The 20,103-nt window shown below is 36.6% G+C and overlaps 1 protein-coding gene across 12 annotated transcripts in view; it reads right to left on the reverse strand.

The window, feature by feature from the left end:
* The window catches only part of ZMAT1 (zinc finger matrin-type 1), a 49,738-nt gene continuing 29,855 nt past the window's right edge, over positions 221–20,103 (reverse strand). For 2 of the 12 annotated variants that reach the window (XM_005262213.5, XM_017029903.2), the window contains exons 3-7: positions 16,050–16,151; positions 15,799–15,973; positions 13,745–13,810; positions 4,563–4,662; positions 221–2,752 (exon numbers count right to left, since the gene is read on the reverse strand). In XM_005262213.5, the coding sequence (XP_005262270.2) occupies positions 1,441–2,752; positions 4,563–4,662; positions 13,745–13,810; positions 15,799–15,973; positions 16,050–16,151 (1,755 nt within the window). In that variant the 3' untranslated portion in view covers positions 221–1,440. The other 10 variants (XM_005262212.5, XM_005262216.5, NM_001394560.1 and 7 more) reach the window with 8 other exon arrangements.

Below are 20,103 nucleotides of genomic sequence, written 5' to 3' on the forward strand. Positions count from 1 at the left end.
CGGTTTCAACCATTTAATTGGTCATATTTTCCTAACCTTAAACTGAGTTTGAGACTCAGTATCAGCCTCTGTGAGATAAGATATAGAAAATATAAAATTATTACAACTTCATAGTGTGATCTCCTCAGAGGTATTAAGTGCCAACTGTTTAATTATTGCCCCTCCAACTCCCAAAATAATAATTTTGGATGGGAAATGATCATTTACATAAAACAATATGTAGAAATTAAAACACTTTAATATAAACATTTCCAGAATATAGACTGACCTTATATCAGTACTTTTTGAGACCGTTTTAAAACTATATATCATCTAAGTTTATTATAGACTGTTTCATTTTCCACTTTCAGAACTAGAAAATGCAAAAATACACTGCAAATTAGATTTAACAAAGAAAAAATCAGTTTAAGTTATTTCATACATATTCCTTGGAGAAAGCTGAGACACATAAACACAGAAAAACAACAATAAAATACCACCAACACTAACACAAAACCAAGGAAAGAACTGATTTTGTAACGCTTGGTAATTCTGTCCTTTAAAATAAATTATCTCCCATGAATAAATAATTCACTATCACAGCAATTTGATGAGCAGAAGTAGAGACAACTTCATTTAGGGAAATTACATTATATGTGAGATATGTGAGAAACATTTAATAATTTTTTTTCTTTTTTAAGAAAATGAAGGAAAGTAACTTGAGGAAAAGGCATACTGAATACTTTTACTTCACTTGGCTTTTTTAGAGATTAAAGTAGCCATCCACCTAGAAAAATTACAATAACATGAATTTTATAAAACCAAACTTTTTTTCCTTCAACTTTGAAGGAACAAAACTAAAAAGTTGAAAATCCTAGAGTAGACTCATCCCAAATCACTGTCTCTTCTGTCTTTTCTTGAGTAGGTTTCTTTTTCTCTTAAGTTCTTGTGTTCTCATGTTAGTGTTGTTCAGAGGCTAGGTTTAGGCTTTTTTGTTGTTGTTTCTTCTTTCAATTAAATTTCAAGTTTTTTTAAATAGCTTTCCTGAAGTGACACTGACTGTATCTACCTCTCCTTTTCTTCATCTGATCCTCTTGCTTTTGTCTAAAGTCCATTTTCTTAGCTGATTTCCTCAATTAATCCTTGGGCAAACAAAACTAAAAGTTCAATACCCAAGAATAGACTCATTCCAAAACACAGATTCTTGTCTTTTCTGTAACAGGTTTCCTTTTCTCTTATGTTCTCCTTGAGTTCTTATGTTCTTTTCTCAGAGGTTAAGTTTGGGCTTTTTTTTTCCTTCTTTTAATTCAATTTAAATTTTTATACAAAAAAAACCTAAGTGTCCTGAAGTGACACTGACTGTATCTACCTCTCCTTTTCTTCATCAGGTGTTCCTTTTTCTAAATCCATATTGACTGTTTTTTTTTTTCAATTCAACCTTGGGTAAACAAAACTAAACATTCAAAATCCAAGAATAGACTCATCCCAAAGCATTTCCTCTTCTGTCCTTTCTTCAACAGATTTCTTTTTCTCTTTCCTGTGCTTACGTTCTTCTTTCTCGGAGGGTACATCATGGCTTTTTTTCTTTTTTCGATGCTTAAGCTTTCCTGAACTGACCTTGACTCTATCCTCCTCTCTTTTCCTTTGTCTGATGCTCTTGTCTTTGTCTAAATCTGTATCTTCATAACTCTTTTTCCTTTTATGCTTGGACTGCTCTTTCTCTGGCCTTTCTTTGCCTTCTTCTAGGTGTCGTTTTCTCTTCTGATGTTTCCGTTTATGACCTGCTTGATGGTCAGCAGTATTGTTTTCTGAAGAGAGGTGCTTGTAAACTTCAGATTCTACACTGTATGAGCCAGAGTTATTTTCTTGCTGATTAAGGCTCAAGGGTACTGGTTTTTCTGGGAAACAGTCTCTGGTGAGTTGACAGTAGCTAATAGAATCTAGTCTCTGTTTGCTATCATGAGCTGGTAAGCAATGAGGTAACTGGTTTTCCACTACTTGTGAAATACTATATGGTCCTGAATAGGTCTGGAAAGTCTCACATGGGAGCTTTTGCTCCAACATTCTATGTCTGGGTCTGACATCAACCATTTCTCTGTTCCTGTGTGTTTCTACAGAGCTATCTCCTATCTTTCTGAAACAAGTTTTTGGCTCTAGTCCTCTGGCTTTCTGCACTTTTATGTAATCTTCAAGTTCATCTTGGAAAGAATCATATGTCCTCTTTGAATGGGTTGGTAGCCACTGAGGTAACTGGCTTTCCACTGGTGAAATATGGTATGGTCGTTGGTAGGTCTGGGAAGCCTCATGTGAAAATCTTTGCTCACACATTCTTGATCTGGGTCCAGAATCAACCATTTCTCTGTACCCATGAGTATCCACAGAGTTCTCTCTCATCTTTCTGAAACAAGTCTTTGGATCTAGTCCTCTGGCTTTCTGTACTTTGATGTAATCTTCAAGTTCATCTTGGAAAGAGTCATATGTCTTCTTTGAATGAGGTAACTGCTTTTCCATTGCTTGTGAAATATTGTATGGTGCTGCGTATGTCCGGAAAGTCTCAAATGGGAGTCTTTGTTCAAACATTCTATGTCTGGGTCTGGAATCGACCACTTCTCTGTATCTACGGGTTTCCAAAGAACTCTCTTCCATCTTTCTGAAACAAGTCTTGGCCTCTAGTCCTCTGGCTTTCTGCACATTGATGTAATCTGCACACTCATTTTGGTAAGAGTCTTGTGTCTTCCTTGAATTCTTCACTAGATTGATAACAATGGATTCTCTGTAAAGAAGACAGTAGAAAATTGTTATTAGATTATTTTATTCTAAATATTTTATTTGTTCTTAAAAGTATTAGTCTGAAAAAACAAAAACAACAAATTTAAAAACCCAAACAGATTTTAAAAACCTACTTTATTATAAAAGCTATAAATTGTGAATTTTTATGTCAAAAAAGCACATTGGACAGTGAGAACCTACCTCATTATAAAGCCATAAATCATGACTTTCTATGCCCCCCAAAAAGGAGCATGGAAAATGATATATCTCCTAGGCACCTCACAATTTTTATGCAAAAAAGAAAAGGAAATTTCCTTTGGCCCGGGATGAAAGGGAAGACGGGTATAAAGTAGCAGATATATCTGATGTTGTTGTAGCACTAAAAATGTTAAGGCATGTTGGAATGTATGGGTGGGGACTAATAATATTTAATGTCCTGACAGATGCTCTGATTTGAATGTCATATCATTTTTAAAGTTTTCATTAGTTCCTTATATACATCTTATAAATGTGATATGTGTTTATTCTGTAATCTTGAGATTTTTAAAAATCTAAATTATAAATCTAGCCAGGTGTGGTGTGTGTGCCTGTATTCCCAGCTACTGAGGCTGAAGCAGGAGGATCTCTTGAGCCCAGGAGTTAGAGGCTGTACTGCACTATGACGGAACCTGTGAATAGCCACTGGACTCCACCCTGGGCCAGAGAGCAAGAACCCATCTCTGAAAAAAAGGAATGTAAATGTAGGTTAATTGGGTAAGTCAGACAATTTAGCTTCTAAGTATTCGGATACAAATAATATAAATATTTTCTACTAGAATAAAACAATGTAACAGAAAGAATATGTCTTGATTTTATTTTATTCATTTTATTTTATTTATTTTCTTGAGACAGGGTCTCACTCTGTTGCCCAGGTTAGAGTGCAGTGGTGTGATCATGGTTCACTGCAGCCTCAACACCCTGGACTCAAGTGATCCTCCTACCTTAGCTACCCAAGTAGCTGTGACCATGGGTACATGCCACTAAACCTGGCTAATTTTTCTTTTTTCTCAGGTAGAGATAAGGTCTCACTACGTTGCCCAGGCTTGACCTCAAACTCCTTGGCTCTTCCTCCCACAGTGCTGGGATTACAGGCATAAGCCACCAGGCCTGGCTCTATGTCTTGACTTTAAAAGCATCAATACAAAGATAAATAGTCAAATACCCTTTGCTACCTGAACTAACCAATCTCCAACTGTCCATTCAATTCTCCTCTCCTTGAAATAACAGAATAAAATGGACTAAATATTTATTGAACTCCTACTATGTGCCAGGGCAGGCACCTTACACATATTATATTTCATCATAACAATCTTATGTAAGAACTGACCAAAGTTATACACTTGGTAGAAAAATGGATCTGGTATTCTAATCCAGGTCCATCTAATAGCAAGACCTCTGTTCTTAACCACTATACATCACTGGAAAAATGGTGACTGGGTCACTGAATCCCTGGAACCAAGCAAACCTTCCAGAAATTCTCTGCATTTGTATGGTTAGTGTGAGAGTGATCCTTTAGCATCTCTCCAAAGAACACTGCTCTCTAGTCAGGAGGGGTGCCAGTTAGCCAGGTTTGCCAGTACACTATCATTACTAGAACTAAAACTAGAACCCCTGAGGGACACTAGTATGCAATATGTTACAAATATTGCCAACCATACCCAGGTTAAACCCATAGGGACATGAATGCCTAAGAAGTTTGTAAAATACATCAAAGAGTGCTTGACTAGAAGCTCTGGTCTTTGGTATCATAGGAAAATTTTGGCAAAAATACTTACTTAATTTGATGTTCACTTCCTTGCATGTGGGACCGGAACATATCTAAAGATGTAAAAGCAATACTACAAATATGGCAAACATAGGTTCTCATACTAAATGCTGAAAAAACAAAGAGTTCAAGTTAAGAAGGTCAGTATAAATACATTTAGAATCACATAATGTTAGAACTGGACCAAAAATTTATTAGAGACCATCTACTTGACATTTTCCAATAAAGATGGGGCCCAGAGAGGTCAAATGACTTGGTCAAAGTCACAGAGCAAGTTAGTAGTAGTGTTAGCCTCTCAGAGCCCACACCTCTTAATTGAATGCCCAGAATTCTTTACACCACACCACACTGCTTCTCTAGCTTAACTTCTTCCCTAAGAATCTGCTATCTGTCTACTTACTGTTGCTACATGGAGGTGCAACAGGCACCTGAAATTTAGCATGGCCAACCAACCTTTGCCTCTGAATCTCTTAACCAGCCTCTTTTTGTTTGCCCCAACTCTGTTTCCACCCAACCAAAACCTGAAACGTCCCAAAACATTAAAAACAAATAAAGGCAAATTTTTTACTCTCTTACCTGAGATCACTGCAGTGCCTTAGTTACCAAAAGTAATTTCCACAGATTTTAGAAAGGAGAGAGGTTCAGTGAGCCCCACTCTCAGGATAAAAGCTGAAAGCAAAATTCTAAAACAAAACTACTAGTTACCACTTCAAAAGAGTCAAAAGCTATACACTGGGAACTATATAGTAACTAGCACACTATTCCACTTTGTAGGTAGAATTAGAAGCAAGGGATACATTAATTTTTTAAAAATCTCATCATCCTTCCACTTTATCTTTGACCAGAAGAAGCAAATTAATACATTTCATAAGCCAAATATAAAATCATTCTGACCCTAGGGAGGAGGAAATAAATTGGTACATGCAAAGATTTTGGGGACAACCATGGTAATCTTTTAAACCAAAAAGTGACCTAATCATTTCAAAGAAGCTAAATTAATTATTACCAAGTATATTGGCCTTGTCTGAGCAAAGACTATTCATAGAAACAGGAGACTGCTTGCAAGGGGAAAGAAAGATGCTGACTCTGAAGAAAATGAGGCTGCACACTACTGGCTATTGCGGGCCCAGGAAAACTCAGCAGGTTATGTCAAAATATGAATGAAATGTTCCCTCAAAACTATCCTTTTCTATGCTCTAATTTCATGCATACTAAGTCACTTTCTGATTATAATTGGTTTTTCATATTCTTTGATACCAAGAAAAGGATACCCTGGATGACAGACATCAAGAAAAACTAGGAAATGGAAATATGTATCTCCTCTTACCATAAATCAATACCAGAATGACAATACAATAACTTAAAGTACAATGTTTCCCAGACTTCTTTGATAAAAATCAACTGGGGTGTCAGTTAAAAATATAGATTCCCAGGCTCTCCCCTGGAGAACATGATTCAATGTTTCTAGGGCAGGGACAAGAAATTTCTATGATCACAAATATGGCAAATGATTATCACAGGCTTTGTGAGAAACATATTAAAGTAATATCTTTCCAGTTAGTTATCAGCCACTTTCAAGTTTGTTTGCGGTTAGTGAGTCCCTGATTTGAGGCTGATCATCTTGAAGATTTTGGACTTCTTGCAAAGCTAAGGACTAAACCCAGGAGAGTACATATTCACAACAACCTCTTTTAGGAAATTCGTACCATCTTTTACAGGTGCTGGAACTTAGGCTCAGATTAACTTTGCCAATACCATATATTTTGAGGGTACCCAAGTTGTGCAAGATAAGCAGGAGTCCTGGTTTCCTCTGGATTAGTGGTTCTCAATGCTGGTTACACATTAGAATCATATGGAAAAATTCAAAAATATTGATGTTACAACTCCATGTCAGACCAATTAAATCAGAATCTCTAGGAGTGGAATTAGGCACCCTTACTTTTTGAAAGCTTTACACACGATTTAACTGTGCAGCCACTGTTGAGCACTTGCCCTAGATCAAGCTTGTCCAACTTGCAGCCCACAGGCCACATGTGGCCCAAGGTGTCTTTGAATGTGACTCAACACAAATTCACAAATGTTCTTAAAACATTATGAGATTTTTATGTGATTTTTTTTAACTCATCAGTTATTGTTAGTGTTAGTGTATTTTATGTGTGGCCCAAGGTAATTCTTCTTCCAACGTGGCCCATGGAAGCCGAAAGATTGGACACCTCTACCCTAGATTATTGAGCTAATAATCTTCATTATGACTATAAACTCAGATTATATTTCAGAGTTTTTACATATTTATTTAGTGCTTATAAAGTATACTGTATACAGTGTTCTCCTCCATTCCTGCTTTGTTTCTCCACAAACTACATCAGAAATAATATTCTAATAGAGGTAACATAGAGGTTTAGAAGAGCTGCCAGTCATGTATTAAAGATCCAGAGGCATTTCTAGAACTGTAGTCTGATTACCATTACCTTAGCCCTTGGCTTTTTCACATACTGATGTTCTTTATCTTTTTCTAGGATTCAGACATCTCAGAAAATGATATACAAAAGTTGTGTAAACCCTTTCTGTGAAGATATGAAACCTATTTATGGCCCCAAGGTCAGAATTCCTGATTGAATCCTCCTGGGGCCTGCCTCCATTCTGTTTCTTATACTCTCCACTCTTTTATTTCAGAGACTATTCCGAGGTTCTGTTCTGCTCTCAGCCCTTCTAGGATTCCTTGTTTCTGAGTTCACCCAGAAACTCAGGCTCCTTTATCGCTTGTACCCTTCAGAATCTTCACTACCCTGAAACTTGTGGGGCCTACTCTTCCCCTAATCATAACCCTATCTCATAAGTCTCTGAACTAAGGTCTTTGTTTTCAAAGCATAAATTGGGAAAGTGTGTGTCTAACACTGTTTTCAATCTTGGCTCCATATAAAAATCACTTAGGGAGTCAAAAAAGAGAAAACAAAACACAAATGTGTAAGTCCCAGAGATGGTAATTTAATTGATTGGAGGGTTGGCCTGAGCAATGGGAGTTCTAAAAGCTCCTCACATGATTCTAATTAGTCAAGGCTGAGAACCACTGGTCTAACATCTTAAACGGGGAAAAGCCAATTGAGAGCTGCACATAATCAAAACTGCAGCTGTCAGGAAGAATTGCTAATGAACGCTGGGCTTAATACCTAGGTGATGGGATGATCTGTGCAGCAAAACCACCATGGCACACATTTACTTATATAACGAACCTTCACATCTGCACATGCACCCATGAACTTAAAATAAAAGTTGGAAAAAAACTGCATGTGAATATCGGATTTATGTTATAAAGAAAAACAGAAAATGTCCAATTTACCTATTTTAAAATTATGACAGGACAAAACATTTTTACAAACCTAACATTTGTTACAAACCTATTCTGTGATGGGTACTATATATACTACTTCAGTTAATTATTATTCAATCCTGTAGAGTCACATTATTTTCATTTTATACCAGAGGAATCTGCGGTGCAACTTGGCAAGTGACTGTATCTCCAAATCTATGTTTATCCCTCTATACAACACTGACTCTCAATAAACAATTTGCAAATATGAATTGAGAAAAAATTATGCCCTCATTACCATATAAAGCACTAAGAAGGATACTGCAGAATAAAATATAATCCTTTGTCTCAGAGAAGCTAATTCCCTTGAGGGGCTATAATTGTATCAATTGTCAATGAACAGTAAAGCCTATGAGAAATCAGAGAAAGGGAGAACACAAAGAACTAGAACAGTAAGAGAAGTTGTGATGGATCTTTGAGGACAGAAAAGATTTGAATTTGTAAGAAAGCAGGTAAGGGCATTCCAGGGGATGAAAATAATATCAAGTATGGCAGAGACAGAAATCAGCACAATGTGTTGAATCCAAATAATTGGTTTAACAAATACTGAATACCTATGTGGCACCAAGCATCAGGTTAGATGCCAGGGATACAAGATGAATGAAACAGCCAAGTTGTTCACAAATCCAGTGTGAGAAAGATACATGAACAAAAAATTTCAGTCTCACTTGGTAAAAGTAAGAGAGGTATGTTTAAGAGGTATGCGAGCACAAAGAAGCAGGGGCACTCAGCATAATACGGGGGTCTGAAAAAGGCTACTGGAAGAGATAATGTCTTAGCTAAACTTGGAGGGATGATGAATAGTTAACCTGAAAAGAGTTGAGAAGAGTGTTTTAGGTACAAAAATTCATGAAAAAAGCATAGACGTGCTTACAGGAACTTCTTAAAATTTGGAATTGTTGTAGAGTAAAACATAAGAGAAAGAGATGGGAAGAGGCAAAATGGGTCAGATCAAAGAAAGACTTATATGTTATGCTAAGGAGCCTAAATTTTTTATTCTGTGCTTTGGGAAACCTTGAAGTGGTTTATGTATTAAGTGACGTGGTTGGTCAATTGTGTGTTTTAGATGAGTCTCTTCTGTGGCTGCAATACAAAGGATTAATTAAAGAAGAGTAAGCCTAGAAGTAAGGAGATCAAGCAAGACATAATGAGGACATGGACTAGATGGGTCTCAGTAGGGGTAGAAAGAAGCAGGGAGATTGGTGTAACATTTAACTTTAAAACTGGCAAAAGTTAGCGACAGAATGACTGTGACGGATTGGGGAGAGGAAAGAATCTAGAGAAGTCTAAAATAATTCCCAGAAACCTAATTTGGTAAGTGGTTGGGTGGTGATCCCATTAACTGAAATTGGAACTTCAGATGTATGTGTTGTTTTAATGGGTGGGAGAGTAGGCAATGGTGAATAGTGTAAGTTTGAACACAGGGTCTAAGATAGCTACAAAACTTTCATGTAAAGGTGTCCAACAGGCAGTTATATACAGGAGTATGAAAGGCAGAAGATAGGTCAGAGAGATTTTGGAGATGTCAGAACACGGGGGTGGATAGTCAAAATAATCAGAGTGGATGAAATCTCCTGAAGATAATGTATGGGTGGGCACAGGAATAGCAACATACTGATAAAACCCTGGAGAATGCCATTCTTTAAAGAAAGATGGTAGAGAAAGATGAGCCTATGAAAAGTCCACCAAAGCAAAGGACAGCAAATTATAAGAATGAACAGGAGAGAGTGATGTCAAAGGAGCTAAATAAAGATGTTCATTGGACTTACAAATTTAGAAGTCACTTTGCCACTGTGAGTAGTAGTTACAGTGAGGTGGTAGACTGGTGGTGTGAAGGCTGAGGGAATAAGCACCAAAGAACGGCAGTGAGTTGAGTAAATAATAAGTGGAGACAGTAAGAGTGTACTACATTTTAAAAATAACTTGGTTAAGAAGGGAAGGGGAGAATGTAGGAGTTAAAGGAGAACTCAGGGTTACAGGAGGATTTAGTTAAACCAAGATACTTGGTAGTAATCCACATCTGATGGCCAAATTTTTCTTGATGAAATCACAAAGGAGCTTGTCTGAGAAGTGTGAAGAGAAGGAGTGTAGCGGGGGAAGAGAGTCTTGAAGAATGATATAGGTTTAAAATTGTCGCTAAGGGGAAAGTGAAGGAAAAGGAAACAGATTAAGTAGGACTAAAGGTCCAAAGAGGTTAGGTACCAAGACTCTGAAAACATACCCAATCTCTATAGTTTATAATTTTCCACAGCATCACTCAGTAGGCTTTATGCAGAAGTAGAAAATGTATAGGGTGGAACTGATCCAGGGTTGAAATCCTGCTACTAGGGAGTGAGAGAATAACAATGAGGTACAAGTAAGCTTTCCAGAAGGTTGTTACAGCATTAAGGTGTGAGGTGATGGTAGTAGAAATGTAATGAATGGCTACAGAAAGGAGAAATAGTTCTAAGATTTGATAAGATTTGCTAATGGATAGGATATAGATAATTAAGTAGTCAAAGACAGCCTCAAAGATTCAAGTGTAGGTGACTAATAAACATTGGAACTACTAGCAAAGACAGAAAACTTGGGAAATTCAAGTTGACTGTAGAGATTATTAATTCCGTTTTAGGTATGTTGAGTTATAGGTGAAGGTGAGGCATCTGAGTGCAATAATGGGGCCAAAAATTAGTAAGATAAACAAAACAAATATAATAAATAAAAAATACATACATACTTTAGTTCCATATCGTTATGGTAGCCATTCCTGTGCTAATAAGATCTGAGCTGGATGAGGGACATGAAGAAAGCAGTGAGAATGATGAAGAAAAAGAGAAAGATTAGATATGGGAGAAACATATATAAACAATAGCAGATGGAGAGGAAGGCAGACAGAAGAAAATGGGTGATGAGTGAAACAGTTAAGGTGGCATATGTTAAATTATTACCACTTACTCACTTGTAATGAGGGCATCTGCTGTTACTGTTCTTTGAAATTGTCATTAGCTAGTTAAAATTCTCCAGGTATTTTTTAATGTTCAAATGTTTACTGCTCTCAAAATGAAAGAGCCAAGGTAGGGTTGAAAAATCTATTGAGCTCTAGCTTCAGAGGCTAATGTAAAGTGATTCCAATGACTGGATTAAATTATGCTGATGATCATGCCCTCTCCTCCACCATCAGATGATAATTTCACCAAAATCCTTCTTTCATCATTCTAATAACATTAAAACTTCAGGGTGCCAAAATGGCCCCCCAATTTAGAAGTGACAGGAGTGCACACACTTCTCATAGTTAACTCAGTTCAAATTTACCTAATGCTAGAAAATTAGAAGCCCCTTATTTCAGATACACTCAACCTAGCAACAGGAAAAATACCTTAACAAGTGAAAGTTGTCATTTCTCTGAACATATACTCCTACTTTCAGAAGCCCTAGCACTTGTATTTCTACACTTGCCTAAATCAACATTCTTCATAATCCTAGATAAAAACACGTATCTCTATGTAACTTTCTGGGATATGCTGAATCACACTAAGTAGAAACCTGAAAGAGTAGAAAACAGGATAAGCACTCAACAAATAAAGATAATTAATAGTTATCTGATGCATGTATTAAGCTAATCTCTATTGAAGTGGTCCTATTTCTGTGCGAGTTTCTATCTATAGCACTGGAAATATAGATGAATTAGATGAAGTCCCTTGCCTCAAAGACCTTACATTCTAATTGGAGACAGACACATGCAGAGATACTTAGAAATGCAGGTTAAGGAAGCACATAAGATTAACCCTGAAGTAATTGAATGAGGGGGAGTTAGCCAGGGGAAGTGTTATAGGGATATTCCAGACAAAGTGGCAGCATGAACGAGGGCACAGACACAAAAAACAGGGTAATAGTTTCTGGCAACCATATGTAGTTTGCAGGTACTGACCCACATAGATCATGCCAGGAAGTAGCAGGGGATAAGCCTGGAGAAGGCAGGCAGAAACAAGATGGTGGAGAGCTATGAAGCTTAGATTTTATATTTAGAAGATGAAGGAATAATGAAGGGTTTTAAAGAAGGGGAATGACATGGAAATACTTACACTTTAAGTCAAACACTCTAGTGGTTAAATTGGGGGTGGGTTTGGGGAAACAAAACTGGAGGCAGAAAGAGTAGTTAGGAGGTTGTGGCAATCACTTCTCAAAACTTATTCAGTACAAATCACCTACAGATCTTGTTAAAATGCAGATTCTGATTCCGTAGGTCTGCAGTGGGGCCTGAGAGTCCTTGTTCTAACAAGTTCCCAGGTGATGCCAATGGTGTTGATCCACAACCCACACACTGAGTAGCAAACCTCTAGGAAAGATCTTGAGGACCTGAACTAATGTGGGAAGCGCAGGGCTGGAGATAAGGGGAGAGTAGTATTCAGGAGGTAGAAGAGTCACAGCTTGGTGCTTCATTAAATATATGAAGTTAAGAAGGTGGTGTTTGGGGGTTCATAGTTACCTGTGGGTTTCTACTTTGAATGACTAGGTGGATTTGAAATGGCTATGAGGCATCCAGGTGAAGCAGTAGCTGCCATTTGGATATGTGAATCTAATACTTGACAGAAAGGTCATAAGCATACAGATGAGAAATGAAATCAGGGAAATAGAAATCGTGTTTGTAGAGTAAGGTCAAGGATGAAACCATGGGAATACCTACATTTAGGTAATGAATAAAAAAAGAGCCCATAGAGAAAACAAAAAAGAAACAGAAATAGAGAAGAACCAGAGCATAAAGAGTTACATATGACAAAGAATAGAGCTTCAAGGAGGAGAGAAGAATGAACATTTTCACATGAAGGAGAAAGGCTGGGTAAAGAAAGAACTGAAAAATAATAGTGAGTGGAGGAAAAGAAGTGGGTGGAAGAGAGAATATGAAAGGGGAATAAAATACACTAGTAGTGAGAAGGTGCCTGTGGGGGGAAAAATGAAAAAAAAATATGGTTAGAAGAGCAAGTGGATCACTCCAGTCAGGATCAGTCTCTTTACTGTGCCTGAATTCTTGCCACTCTTAGCTCCAAGCCCTTTGGTTCATCCTTTCTTCTTCCCACTTCTATCCACTGAAAATCATCTAAATATATGAAGATTTTTCTGGACCATTATGCTTCACTTATCTAGTTACCAAAAATATGTACACAAAAATGCGCCTGTCGGCTCTTGCAATGAAGTATTATTATTAACCTAACTAGTTTACACGCTCGCTCCTTTAGGGAACTGTATTCCCAAGAGTGACTAGCCTAGCACCAAAGAGACACTTAAAACATACTTAGTAAGAATGATATAACCACATGATATTAATTTAAAATGCTTCCTTATGTATATACCTAAGGATCCTTATTTACCTAAAATAACATGAAACCATGAGAATTCCTATGTTTGATTCTAAAATTAAGAGGGGTCATCTAAACCATTCAGGTTCTCATTTCCTAGGAAATGAACAGATCAAGTTAGATGGACTTGTAAGTCCTTATAAAATTCTATGATTCCATGAATACTATCAACCTCTCACTCAAGAAGAGTAAAATGGTATGTAAATAAGCTAGTATGTTTTATAAAACACAAACTTCCTATGAAAAAGTTTTGGGATAATTTTATGTTTACCATTTGCATTTGATTTTGCTGGAAGAGATTTCTCTCTTATTTTGTCTAAAAATGTCTCCCTGGCTTCATTTCTTTTGTGTTTTTTTTTTTCCCAACATAATGTTGTTGAGTCATTACTGGACTATTAAAGGAAGCAGGATAGAGCTTGCAAAATTTGTTCGGATTATTCAAACCCAAATCACTGCTGGGAGAGGAAGGCATAGTCTTGTCTTTAATCCCACCTGTAGGAGGCTTGACAGGAAGGGGCTTCAGGAATGTTGACTCTGCAGAAGTAGTAAGAGGCACTCCTGCTGAAATAGTTGTAATAAGAAGTGATAAACACATTTTCAGATATTAGAACTGCATTTATTGTAAACTACTAGGGAAATTTATAATTCTCTAAAAACCCACTCCCTGGACTTTTTTTTTCAACAGACAGCTGCTGGATAAAGCTTCTAAAGTAAAAAAGAATTTCCTTCTGTGAGAATGGAAGTGTGAATATGAATTTGTCACCAAGTTTGATATGAGAAGGAAGTAGTATTCTGTATTAGGCATTGCCTGATTATATTCATATAAAAATCAATGAAAGTATGATAGCCATCTTATGATTCTTTAAAATTAGTGAGGATAAAACATATGATATTAACTTCTAAGTCTTTCTTGAGTAACAAAGTAAGGCGTCTATTCATTCTACATTTGTGATGTCTGCATCAGAATAAAATCTATGCAGTTGTTTAAGACTATAAAACTATACATGTTCCTACAATTCCAGTATTTCATAGCTCTTTTATTTATCCTCCTCTCTGAGCCCAAGTTGATAAATTTTGGGACTGAAGATAAAGCTTTTATAAGATGTTTTTTCTTTTAGGGCACACTGATTCTGTCTATCTTTTGAATGACAGGCAGAAAAAATGTATAAAAATTAGAGACTAAATTTAAAAAAATAATTCTGGCTTCATTTATTAAGAAAATAAAAGTTTTAATAACATATCTTGTGGCATTGACTTTGCTGGGTGACTATGAGTTCAAAATTGATGAGTTCAAATTATACTATGAGTTCAAAATTGATGTTGGTGAATTTTCCATGGCAGGCATGCCTTAGTCCTAAAGTGTTGAAGCTACAAAGAATGTGGTAAATTATTTACTACAGAGGATTAATCATCTTTTCTTGTTCTAGCACATCCATTTACAAAAATACAAGTTGGGTTTTCCAGGGTATACTCTGCCATCTTGGGCAACTTTGAGTCAGTTTTCTCATATGTGCTGGTGACCCAACATCACCAGGAGAAGGAAAGATGCAATGTTTTTATAATTCCCCCTGTATTTTCAGGATTTAACATAAAATAAGTACTCAGTAACTAACTGATGATGCTGGTAGTACTTCTTATTTATAGGAAGAAAGAAATAGGCTATCATAATAGAAAGAGAGTCAGTAACTTTTTTTTTGCCTACAGTTAGTAGGAAACACATAACTACATTATGGTGAAGACATTGATTTGAACACTCATATGAGATAATGTTTTGGAAAATACTAACGCAAAAAAGACGCCAAGGGGAAGAAGTAAAAAGTGAAGATTTTATTATTTGATTAAAAAATGATGAGTTCATGTCCTTTGTAGGACATGGATGAAATTGGAAATCATCATTGTCAGTAAACTATCGCAAGAACAAAAAACCAAACACCGCATATTCTCACTCATAGGTGGGAATTGAACAATGAGATCACATGGACACAGGAAGGGGAATATCACACTCTGGGGACTGTTGTGGGGTGGGGGGAGGGGGGAGGGATAGTATTGGGAGATATACCTAATGCTAGATGACGAGTTAGTGGGTGCAGCGCACCAGCATGGCACATGTATACATATGTAACTAACCTGCACAATGTGCACATGTACCCTAGAACTTAAAGTATAATAATAAAAAAAAGACATTATAAAAAAAAGAGTAAAGGTGGAACAAAGTGTCTATCTAAAAAAAAAAAAAAAAAAGAAACTGACAAAGCTCCAGCTGCTTACTGTTGTTTCTTTATAGCAGTATAGCAAATCACTTGCTTTTGTTTGAATTTGGTGAACTGAAAAGGAGAGGTCACAACATTTCTTAAAAATCAACTAGCAATTAAAATCTCCATATTAAATGACAAAGACAGACACAGAGATTAACTGGGAAGAAGAATAATAATCAAGTTATTTCAACTGGGGTGAAAGTCTCCCCCACTAAAAAGGATATGGCAGAGTTAGACAAAACATGATAGGTAGATCCTGCATTGAAGATCAAGAGGTGAATGGAACCTTACCCATCTCTGGTTGAAATCCTGATGGAGATGCCTGATCATGTTCCTCCATTAATTGCTTCAGTTTTTTAGCATGGACCTTTCCCACATAGTGAGACTGAGCAATAAGTGGAGAGCTAAACATCATGTTGCAGAGATCACAAAATTTGTTTTTGTCCACTCCTTCATACCTATGCACCTGAAATAGGCACAATCTTGTTAGAAAGATTCAATAACTCAAAGTTTGGATTACAATACCAACACACATCACTCACCTGAAAATTCTCAACATGCATCTTCATTTTCTTACCAGGCACTTCATTTTGTTCCCCATGCATTTGAAAATAAAAACTAACATTTTGAGCATGTTTTTCACCCTGAAAAAAGATATAATATGACTTTGTTTATTCAATAAAAGAGTCATTCAAAATTTACACCTTTCTGAATTTGAGGATGGCATTCATGTGTGTTAATATATTTAGTCAAACTTGGTACAGACTCACATGATTTCAAATCTCTAAATGTCAGTTAAAATGAAAATAATGCTAAATTTAGAAGCCAATAACTTTTAGATTCTTGTTTTTGAAATGGATTCCTAATTGCTGCCCAATATCAAATATCTTCTTTTTACTTAGTTACAGATCTTGAGCAATGTACCCAGTTAAAAGACTATGTTTTTCAGCCTTCCTTTCAGCAAGATGTATCCATGTAACTAGATTCTGGTCAATAAGATATAATTTGAAGTGTTATGTAGAACCTCTGGGAAGCCTCCTTAAATGACTGGGCCATAAGCCCTTATTCTACCCTTCTTCCTTACTGATTTTGGAATTAAGATACAAAGGATGGAGTTTCAACAGTCATCTTTGGACCATGGTGACATTGAGGAGGAAAACCAGTTCATCAGAGCAGAAAGACAGAAAATGCCCGCCAGACGTGGTGGCTCACGCCTGTAATCCCAGCACTTTGCGAGGCTGAGGTGGGCGGATCACAAGGTCAGGAGTTCGAGACCAGCCTGACCAACATGTGAAACCCTGTCTCTACTAAAAATACAAAAATTAGCTGGGCGTGGTGGTGTGCGCCTGTAATCTCAGCTACTCAGGAGGCTGAGGCAGGAGAATCACTTGAACCCGGGAGGTGGAGGTTGCAGCGAGCCGAGATTGCGCCACTGCACTCCAGCCTAGGCGACAGAGACTCTGTCTCAAAAAAAAAATGCCTAGGTCCCTGATAATGTTATAAAGCTGTCATATCAGCCCTCTACTACCTCCCTTGCAAATTCTTTTATGTGAGAAAAGAAATCCTTCTGGGCTTAAGAGACATTAGAAATAATCACTAACAAATATATAACCAAATATGTAAGAATAACTAAGATGTTGGTGTAGGGGGAAGGGAAACTAACATTTCCTGAGCACATAATGTGAGATAATCACTCTCTCTACAGAATTTTATTTATTTTTAAAATTTAATTTAATTATACTTTTCCATAAGTTATTAGGGTACAGGTGGCATTTGGTTACATGAGTAAGTTCTTTAGTGGTGATTTGTGAGGTTTTAGTGCACCCAGCACCCGAGCAGTATACACTGTGCCATATTTGTAGTCTTTTATTCCTCGCCTCCCTTCCACTCTTCCCCCCAAGTCCCCAAAGTCCATTGCATCATTCTTATGCCTTGCATCCTCGTAGCTTAGCTCCCACATATCAGAGAGAACATACGATGTTTGATTTTCCATTCCTGAGTTAGTTCACTTAGAATAATGGTCTCCAATCTCATCCAGATAACTGAAAATGCTGCTAATTCATTCCTTTTTATGGCTGAGTGGTATTCCAGTGTATATATACCACAGTTTCTTTATCCACTCAGTGATTGATGGGCATTTGCGTTGGTTCCACGATTTTGCAATTGTGAATTGTGCTGCTATAAATATGCGTGTGCAAGCATCTTTTTTGAATAATAACTTCTTTTTCTCTGGGTAGATAGCCAGTAGTGGGATTGCTGGATGAAATGATAGTTCTACTCTTAGTTATTTAAGGAATCTCCACAATGTTTTCCATAGTGGCCGTACTAGTTTATATTACCACCAGCAGTGTAGAAGTGTTCCCTGTTCACCACATCCACGCCAACACTACTGTTATTTGATTTTTTTGATTATGGCCATTCTTGCAGGAGTAAGGTGGTATCGCATTGTGGTTTTGATTTGCATTTCCTTGATCATTAGTGACGTGGAGCATTTTTTCTTGTGTTTGTTGGCCATTTGCATATCTTCTTTTGAGAATCATCTATTCATGTCCTTAGCCCACTTTTTGATGGGATTGCTTGTTTCTTACTGATTTGTTTGAGTTTGTTGTAGATTCTGGATATCAGTCCTTTGTCAGATGTATAGATTGTGAAGATCTTCTCCCACTCTGTAGGTTGTCTGTTTGCTCTGCTGACTGTTCCTTTTGGTGTGCAAAAGCTCTTTAGTTTAATTAGGTCTCAGCTATTTATCTTTGTTCTTATTGCATTTGCTTTTGGGTTCTTGGTCATGAAATCCTTGCCTAAGCCAGTATCTAGAAGGGTTTTTCCATTGTTATCATCCAGAATTTTTATAATTTCAAGTCTTAGGTTTAAGTGTTTAATCCATGTTGAGTTGATTTTTGTATAAGGTGAGAGATGAAGATCCGGTTTCATTCTCCTACATGTGGCTAGCCAATTTTCCCAGCACCATTTGTTGAATAGGGTGTCCTTTCCCCAACTGATATTTTTGTTTGCTTTGTTGAAGATCAGTTGGCTTTAAGTATTAGGGTTTATTTCTGAGTTATCTATTATGTTCCATTGGTCTATGTGCCTATTTTTAAACCAGTACCATTCTATTTTGGTGACTATGGCCTTATAGTATAGTTTGAAATCAGGTAGTGTGATGCCTCTAGATTTGTTCTTTTTGCTTAGTCTTGCTTTGGCTATGTGGGCTCTTTTTTGGTTCCATATGAAGTTTAGAATTGTTTTTTATAATTCCGTGAAGAATGATGGTGGTATTTTGATGGGGATTGCACTGAATTTGTAGATTGCTTTTGGCACAGAATTTGTAGATTGCATTTTCACAGTATTGATTCTACCCATCCATGAGCATGGAATATGTTTCCATTTGTTTGTGTCATCTATGATTTCTTTCAGCAGTGTTTTGTAGTTTTCCTTACAGAGATCTTTCGACTCCTTGGTTAGGTATATTCCTAATTTTTTTTTCTTTGCAGCTATTGTAAAAGGGGTTGGGTTCTTGATTTGATTCTCTGCTTGGTCGCTGTTGGTGTATAGAAGAGCTACTGATTTGTGTACATTAATCTTGTATCCAGAAACTTTGCTGAATTCTTTTATCAGTTCTAGGGGCTTTCTGGAGGAGTCTTTAGGGTTTTCAAGGTAAACGATCATATCATCGGCAAACAGTGACAGTTTGACTTCCTCTTTACAGATTTGGATGCCCTTTATTTCTTTCTTTGTCTGATTGCTCTGGTTAGGAATTCCAGTACTATGTTGAAGAGGAGTGGTGAGAGTGGGCATCCTTGTCTTGTTCCATTCCTCAGAGGGAATGCCTTTCAACTTTTCCCTATTCAGTATTATATTAGCTGTGGGTTTGTCATAGATGGTCTACATAATTTTAAAATGTGAAATATACCCATTGTATAGGAAAGAACAGGAAACAATATAATCGAAACCCATACCCACTATTCAGTTTTAACACTTTGTTGCATTTCTCTCAAATTTCCTTTAAAAGAGGTAAAATTTTACAGATATAATCCTATACCCTCATGCTCACAATCCTTTCTTCCTCTCTCTCTCTTAAAGTTGGTGTACCTGATTTCCTTTCATGCTTTTATTCCTTTACTACACATACATATCCATAAATAGTTTTATATATTACTATCTTGTAAAAATTGATTATAAAAAGTGGAATCATTTGATACATATTCTTTCCAAATTGCTTTTTAAAACTCAGTATTTTATTTATGAGATTTATTGATATTGATACATATAGCTCTAGTTCATTCATGCTATAATATTCTACTCCATATGCTACCTATCCAGTTCCCTGTTTAGGACAATTATGTTTCAGTTTATTTTGCTAACACAAGCATTGCTGCAATTAACATATATAAATAGATCTCCCAATATACATGTTCAAAAGTTCCTTTAGAATAGATACCTAGAAGTGGAATTCTTGGCCTATAAGGAGTGTGGATTTTCAACTTTACCAGGTATAAAATTTTGAAGCAGTTTACATCTCCAAATGCAGCAATGAGAGTGTTTCCCTATATTATCTTGAAGTGTTAAGTGTTATTAGATTTTAATTTTTGCCAGTAT

The sequence above is a fragment of the Homo sapiens genome, chromosome X (genome assembly GCF_000001405.40).
Source record: "Homo sapiens chromosome X, GRCh38.p14 Primary Assembly".
NCBI lineage: Eukaryota > Metazoa > Chordata > Mammalia > Primates > Hominidae > Homo > Homo sapiens.